This window comes from Homo sapiens, chromosome 12 (assembly GCF_000001405.40).
Source record: "Homo sapiens chromosome 12, GRCh38.p14 Primary Assembly".
NCBI classification, from domain to species: Eukaryota; Metazoa; Chordata; class Mammalia; order Primates; family Hominidae; genus Homo; species Homo sapiens.
The window spans coordinates 52,468,295-52,476,410 of record NC_000012.12 but is presented as its reverse complement, the minus strand read 5'-3'; the positions used below and the strand labels follow the sequence as shown (position 1 = coordinate 52,476,410).

At 46.7% G+C, this 8,116-nt stretch overlaps 1 protein-coding gene across 1 annotated transcript; it reads left to right on the top strand.

Annotated features, from left to right (window-relative positions):
- On the top strand, positions 2,606-7,895 carry KRT6C (keratin 6C). Its single transcript, NM_173086.5, has 9 exons — positions 2,606-3,213; positions 4,131-4,345; positions 4,679-4,739; positions 4,895-4,990; positions 5,115-5,279; positions 5,781-5,906; positions 6,521-6,741; positions 6,966-7,000; positions 7,114-7,895. The coding sequence occupies exons 1-9, from the start codon at positions 2,674-2,676 to the stop codon at positions 7,347-7,349; spliced, it is 1,695 nt and encodes a 564-aa protein (NP_775109.2). The 5' UTR covers positions 2,606-2,673; the 3' UTR covers positions 7,350-7,895.

Here is an 8,116-nt window from a genome sequence, read left to right as displayed (position 1 = left end):
CTCATTAAAAGTGAGCACCAGTTGGAAAGGAAGCATTCCAGGACCCACAAAAGATCTATGCATTTAAAACTGAAAGGAGTGAGGAAAAAAAAGGCACTTAACACTCAACAGAAAAAAGGCACAATAAAGTGTTAGCAAAAAAATTTCAGTGAAATGATGACCTCCATAAATTAAGAGAACTAAGGGACAATATATTGAGACAATAAAGAACAATCGAAACGAAGACCAACTGAAAGCAGCACAAAGAGGAAAGAAAGATATTGCTGAAGGCACAGTAATTGACGTATAGGAAAAGATGGAGAAATCAAACAGAAAAAAAGGGATCAGAGTGGTAAAAGAGAATAAAGAGAAAAAAATAGATTTCGAAGGCAAAGTAGAGACAACACAAACTTAATTGGAAGATAATACATGTGTATGTGTTTTATATATATATAATTTTAAAATATTTTATATATGTATGCAAATTTAATATATAAAACACACAGACAAACCTCTCTCTGTCTCTCTTTAGCTATAATTCACCTATACAATACCTTTCTAGGGGCCTTACTCTTTACATATAAAACTCCCCCTCCTCTCTCACCCTCTGTCTTCTCTCTCATACACATACATATGCACACACACACACAAATACACAAATCTCACATATTCCCCAGAAAAAGCTCAGAAACATATCCAAGTAAAGTTACTAGAAGGATACACAAGGACCTGGTAACAGTGCCTACTTCCACATAAAAAGTTTGCATGGCTGGGGAATGGCTTTAGTAAGTATTTTCTCCTTAAACATTTATTACATATTCAATTTATAAACATATAAATGAATGTGTAAATAACAATTTTCAATTTTTTTATTTTAATTAATTTATTTTTTTGAGACAGAATGTCACTCTGTCACCCAGGCTGGAGTGCAGTGGTGCAATCTCGGCTCACTGCAACCTCTGCCTCCCGGGTTCAAGGGATCCTCCCACCTCAGCCTCTGGAGTAGGAGCTGGGATTACAGACAAGCACTACAACACCAGCTAATTTTTGTATTTTTAGTGGAGATGGGGTTTCACCATGTTGGCCAGGCTGGTCTAAAACTCCTGACTTCAGGTGATTCGCCCCCCTCGGCCTCCAAAAAGTGCTGGGATTACAGGCGTGAGCCACTGCGCCCGGCCAATTTTCAGTATTTAAATAGGCATTCTACTACATCCACATCTGGAAAGTCTAAGTATATGAGAGTCTTATTAAGCTTCAAGTTTTAATGATCAGTTTGCAGGAAATATAGAGGACACAGTAGCATCTTAAATGAAACACTGTGAGTAAGCAATGAGGAAATCCCAAAGACTGAAACACTACTCAGGACAATTAACCTGGTCTTATCAACAAAAGAATTGTAAACAATAAGGAAATAAATGAAAAAGGACATTGGAGAATTGAATAGACACATTGATGTTAATAAATACACAAATTGGCTGGGAGCAGTGGCTCATGCCTGTAATCCCAGCACTTTTGGAGGCTGAGCCAGGTGGATCACCTGAGGTCAGGAGTTCGAGACCAGCCTGGCCAACATGGCGAAACACCATCTCTACTAAAAATACAAAAAATTAGCCGTGCTTGATGGTGGCCACCTGTAATCTCAAACTACTCAGGAGGCTGAGGTGAGAGAATCTCTTGAACCTGGGAGGCGGAGGTTGCAGTGAACCTAGATCGCACCACTGGACTCCAGCCTGGGTGACAGAGAGAGACTCTATCTCAAAAAAAAAAGAAAAAAAATTACCCTTCCCCACTGTCCCCTCTACACCCCCTCTCTATGCTCTTTTCTTCCTAGTAAAGCATTACTTTCTTTCTAGCTCAGTGATGCCACTGGATGTGATGTCTTCTATCTCCTTTTGTGTTGTCATCTTTATTAGAGTCAACTCCTTGAGGGCGAAGACTTAATAAATACATACATTTTTAAAATACAAAATAATATTTCAGTTATATTTCTAAAAGGTCTATCATTTAAAGATTAATATTGAATTAATATTGAATTAAATCCCAAATATTTTTGGGATTTAAAAAAATTTAACATTGATAAGGGAACCGGGTGGAAATATACAAGAAATAAGACTGGCCATAAGGTAATCATCATGGAAACAGGTAATAGGTATATACAGGCCCATTGTGTTCTGCTCCTCTACATGTTTGAAATTGCACACAGAAGGAAAAATAATTACAGGAAAAATGTTAATATTTCTGTTAAGGCATTTGCAATACAGTGCTTGTGATCTCCAACATCTCTGCTGGAAGAAAGTCAGGCTGGAAAGAGGAAAGCACTCACAGCATGTTGATAAACAGCCTAGCATGCAGAACCTTTGCTGAAGACAGTGACTAACTTCAACTTCATGAACTGAGAATGCTCTTACTGTGCTGAAATCTCGAGTCAAAGCTGGAGGCAGGAACATTTTCCCTGACTAAAGGAAGTGAAAAATGCCATCTCAGCATTTCATAACTTTTCTGATCCAGGTGTGATCTCACTATTTGTAAAGCCCAGCCCTTCCCAACCTGCAAGCTCACCTTCCAGGACTGGGCCCAGCCCATGCTCTCTCATAATATATAAGCTACTGCTGGAGCCCGATTCCTTGTCCTGCTTCTCCTGCCTCTCGCCTCCAGCCTCCAACGCTCGCCACAGCCCTCTCATCTCCTGGAACCATGGCCAGCACATCCACCACCATCAGGAGCCACAGCAGCAGCCGCCGGGGTTTCAGTGCCAACTCAGCCAGGCTCCCTGGGGTCAGCCGCTCTGGCTTCAGCAGCATCTCCGTGTCCCGCTCCAGGGGCAGTGGTGGCCTGGGTGGTGCATGTGGAGGAGCTGGCTTTGGCAGCCGCAGTCTGTATGGCCTGGGGGGCTCCAAGAGGATCTCCATTGGAGGGGGCAGCTGTGCCATCAGTGGCGGCTATGGCAGCAGAGCCGGAGGCAGCTATGGCTTTGGTGGCGCCGGGAGTGGATTTGGTTTCGGTGGTGGAGCCGGCATTGGCTTTGGTCTGGGTGGTGGAGCCGGCCTTGCTGGTGGCTTTGGGGGCCCTGGCTTCCCTGTGTGCCCCCCTGGAGGCATCCAAGAGGTCACCGTCAACCAGAGTCTCCTGACTCCCCTCAACCTGCAAATTGACCCCGCCATCCAGCGGGTGCGGGCCGAGGAGCGTGAGCAGATCAAGACCCTCAACAACAAGTTTGCCTCCTTCATCGACAAGGTGAGCCAGTGCCATGCCCTCCATCGGGCACTTCAGGGTCCCCAGACCAGAAGAGCAACACCTTCCTGCTAGGGAGACCTAGGAGGGAGGGAGAAGGGGATTCAGCCCAGCTCTGCAGAGAGTGCAGGTGGCTCTCGGTGCACAGGAGGCAGCACAGATGGGCATCACTCCCCCATGGGATCTCTGGAGTGGCCCTCACTCCTGCCTAGGGAGAGCCGTAACTTTTCATAACCCTGAAGCACAGATGAGGCCATCAGAGAGTGGAGTAGGTTAATTCTCCCCTCTGAAGTGTTTAAGAGATTACAAAGCAAATGCCAGGAGTATATGGGCTGGTAAATTACACTCTGGGGTCTGGGTAAGAGGAAAAAGATTTAGAAAGAAAAGGAAAAGATAATCTGGCTGGATTAAGAAAAAAAGGGACATAGAAACAACTGTAAAACATGGATAAATGCTAATTAATTTTAAAAACAGAGAATGACCATAACATCAGAATATTTGAGAGGAGACACTAAATGGGAAAGTAGACTGAAATGTAATCATGAGTCAACATATAATATCTCTCCTAACTAAGATCCTATCAGTAAAAAAACTGTGTACAATATATCAGGTAATTAGTATTTTTAAACTAGATTTGTGATTGTGCCTGGAAAAAGAAGAGAAGAAATGTTGAAACTCACTGATGATCAATAGCTTACAGCGTGAGAACACCTCAATGGTCCATGGGACAATTTCTCTAGTGAGACTGGTGGGGTGCAAAGGAGAAGGGGTTGGGGGAGCAGAGCTCAGCCTGAGCCTCTCCACATGCACTGTAGTAGCCCAGCACCATGGGGACCTCCAAGACCTGCCAGGAAACTGGATACCAGACACTTTTTCTTCCTTCCTTTGCCTGGAAAATGACCATCTTGCTTCCCTTCCAGGTGCGGTTCCTAGAGCAGCAGAACAAGGTTCTGGACACCAAGTGGACCCTGCTGCAGGAGCAGGGCACCAAGACTGTGAGGCAGAACCTGGAGCCGTTGTTCGAGCAGTACATCAACAACCTCAGGAGGCAGCTGGACAGCATCGTCGGGGAACGGGGCCGCCTGGACTCGGAGCTGAGAAACATGCAGGACCTGGTGGAGGACCTCAAGAACAAGTGAGGACTCCATTTCCTGCAGCACACACTTCAAGACTATTGGGTGACCAGGGCCAGATGTGTGTAGGATTCCTAACAACCCATGTCCATGGAAATGAAAAGCACAAATTAGTCCCTAGGAGCAAACCTGCAAGAACCACAGATGGTTATGGGAGGATGGGGGGATTAAAGAAGTGGCAAATTTAGTAGTAGCAAAACTCATCTCTTTGGCTCTCTGTGGCAGGAAAGCTCAATTAGAATATATTCCATTCAGGAAATTGTTGAATCCCAAGCTGCTTTTCTGTTTCATCCTACCCACTGGCTCATATGTGTCCTATGCCTTTCTTCCTGTAGATATGAGGATGAAATCAACAAGCGCACAGCAGCAGAGAATGAATTTGTGACTCTGAAGAAGGTGAGCAGATGAAGCCGGGGGTTCAAATTCATTTAGAAGGAGAGAAGTGGCTCTGTGTCCTCGCTCCCCTGGGAGAGAATTGGCAGGAGGACTAGAAGATGGGTAGATTGGAAAGGTGAGCTCAGGTAACTCCAGGTTGTTGGCTCTTTCCCCAGGATGTGGATGCTGCCTACATGAACAAGGTTGAACTGCAAGCCAAGGCAGACACTCTCACAGATGAGATCAACTTCCTGAGAGCCTTGTATGATGCAGTAAGCATCTCCACCATCCTTCTGTTTACTCTGATGGGGTCTGCAAAGGGGAGAAGATGTATAGGGTTGGGTATCTCTGTAAATGTCAGATGTGAAGTTGATCTTATGACCTTCTGTTCTGCAGGAGCTGTCCCAGATGCAGACCCACATCTCAGACACATCCGTGGTGCTATCCATGGACAACAACCGCAACCTGGACCTGGACAGCATCATCGCTGAGGTCAAGGCCCAATACGAGGAGATTGCTCAGAGGAGCCGGGCTGAGGCTGAGTCCTGGTACCAGACCAAGGTGAGCAGGGAGTGGGCAGCTGCTGAGGAATCCTTGTGTCCATCCTGGAATACCAGAGGACTGCAGACTTCACTGGGGACATCCCCTGACAGGAAGCTGGGGTCCTCTCACAGGACATGCACTCTGCACTATTAGAGTAGACATTTGGGGAACTTATGTGCAAGTCAAGGAGGAAAAAGAACCCAATGCAGGAGGAAAGCTGCCATAGACAAGGACATAGTCATCTCTGCATTTATCTTCACCCTGATTGCTGACTTTTAGAAATTGGTACAGAATATTTCTACTCCCTAAAGAAACTAGGCAGGCAGTGGTGCCATAATGAGGATCGTCTGTGACTCCAGAGTTTAGTATCCACCCACCACATAACATCAACTTTTCCTCAAGTTTCTTGAGGAGAAGCCATTAGGTCCACTTCATGACATGCATGATACACAAGTGAAAGTCATCGCTCCCAGGTAAGAACCCGTAGACACTGTCTCTCTCTCCACCTCTGGGCTGCAGTACGAGGAGCTGCAGGTCACAGCAGGCAGACATGGGGACGACCTGCGCAACACCAAGCAGGAGATTGCTGAGATCAACCGCATGATCCAGAGGCTGAGATCTGAGATCGACCATGTCAAGAAGCAGGTACAGTGAGGTGCAGTGGAGGAAAGAAGCATCATTTTTTGCTAGACCCATCAGGCAGTCATTAGCCATTATTTGATATAATTCCTGAAACGTAAACCAACACTAGGGTGAGGAACATGTGTAGTTCTTGCCCTCAGTGAGAACTCAATAGAGAAGTGAATCCCACCCAAGAGGATGAGCCTCTGAGGCACAAGCAAGGCCAGGTCTCAACAGTCAGGTAAAAAGTTACCACCTCCCCTACAGATGGTCATAATTTTGTATATTTTAATGTGGCATCCAGATGTATTCCTCAAAATCATTCTTGTAGTTTTGAAAACAGCACTCAGTACAAACCGAGCATTCATCTTCCATATGGCTTGTTTTTGGGTCCATTGTAGTGTCTCCCATAAGATGCAACGCACATTCTCATGCGGGTGCTTAATACAAGGGGCATAGGACTTTGTCACTTGACTCCCAGACTAGACAAATATTGCCAAATGGAGAAATACTGGACAGGAAGAGTCAAAGCTCATTCTCTGTCAATTTTGGGTTACAGGACCCTGGTTCACTAAACAAGGGCCAGCCTCCTCCGGAGGAGCAGACAAGAAGTTCCTTCTCTTCCTTTCCCCTCCTAGTGTGCCAGCCTGCAGGCTGCCATTGCTGATGCTGAGCAGCGTGGGGAGATGGCACTCAAGGATGCTAAGAACAAGCTGGAAGGGCTGGAGGATGCCCTGCAGAAGGCCAAGCAGGACCTGGCCCGGCTGCTGAAGGAGTACCAGGAGCTGATGAATGTCAAGCTGGCCCTGGATGTGGAGATCGCCACCTACCGCAAGCTGCTGGAGGGCGAGGAGTGCAGGTAGGTAACTGACGCGACTTCCTCCAACAGCTGAGTCCATCTTCAAGGTTCCTGGCACTGAGCACAATTCTAGGGTGCACTGCTCATGGCCGTAATTGCTCTTCTTGAGAGAAAACTAAAAGAGCAGTTTCCCATGGACTCTTCCACCCACCGAGGCTGCCCACACTGGTCCAGGGAAGGAAGAGCTCTCTGAGGTCTCACCCTCCCTGTGTTCCTCTCCACAGGCTGAATGGCGAAGGCGTTGGACAAGTCAACGTCTGTAAGTACCTTTGCTTGCCTTCCTCCCCTGCCCTCGCACTCTTCTGACTGGGCTCAGGCCGGCAGGATGAGCTCACCGTGGCTTCTTGTGTCCTTGTCCCCTCCCCACCACAGCTGTAGTACAGTCCACCATCTCCAGTGGCTATGGCGGTGCCAGCGGTGTCGGCAGTGGCTTAGGCCTGGGTGGAGGAAGCAGCTACTCCTATGGCAGTGGTCTTGGCATTGGAGGTGGCTTCAGTTCCAGCAGTGGCAGAGCCATTGGGGGTGGCCTCAGCTCTGTTGGAGGCGGCAGTTCCACCATCAAGTACACCACCACCTCCTCCTCCAGCAGGAAGAGCTACAAGCACTAAAGTGCTGCCTCCAGCTCTCGGTCCCACAGTCCTCAGGCCCTTCTCTGGCTGCAGAGCCGTCTCCTCAGGTTGCCTATCCTCTCCTGGCCTCTAGTCTTCCCTGCTCTCCGAGGTAGAGCTGGGTATGGATGCTTAGTGCCCTCACTTCTCTCTGTCTATACCTGCCCCATCTGAGCACCCATTGCTCACCATCAGATCAACCTTTGATTTTACATCATAATGTATTCACCAATGGAGCTTCACTTTGTTACTAAATTATTAATTTCTTGCCTCCAAAATTGTTCTCTCTGAGGCTGAGCATTATAAGAAAATGATCTCTGTTCCTTTTCATTACTGAAAATCGCCTGGGGCTTATTTCAGAACAACTTCCACTTATTTTCCATTGGCCCCCAAACTCCCTAAGTTAAAAGTATTGTGAACCCCCGCCCCGCAGTATGCATGGAAGCACAAGTGACTAGTCGTATGATGTACACAGTCTTTCTCCCTGTGATGATTTCTCTGCTCTTTGCTCTTTGTAATTTCTAAATAAAGCAGGTTTTAGAATAATGCATGGTACCAATATTTCTTCAGCTTTTTCAGTTGACAAACGCCTTTTTATTTTTAACTGATAATCCATATCCCCATGTGCTTAAACCTTCTCCTTTAGAGAGGTTCGATTAACAGCACTATGGCATCCTGATATTCAGGTCTCTTCTCAGATTAGATTCCTCCTAAATGTTTGGCAAGTGGAGCGGGAGGCACCTGGTCCACCATGATTGTCCACTCTG

Bases quoted from the DNA above. Each gene is read 5' to 3' on its own strand.
- KRT6C (NM_173086.5), top strand. From the start codon at position 2,674: ATGGCCAGCACATCCACCACCATCAGGAGCCACAGCAGCAGCCGCCGG. The intron at 5,907-6,520 runs GTACAGTGAGGT...TTCCCCTCCTAG, and splicing joins TCGACCATGTCAAGAAGCAG to TGTGCCAGCCTGCAGGCTGC. The intron at 6,742-6,965 runs GTAGGTAACTGA...TCCTCTCCACAG, and splicing joins CTGGAGGGCGAGGAGTGCAG to GCTGAATGGCGAAGGCGTTG.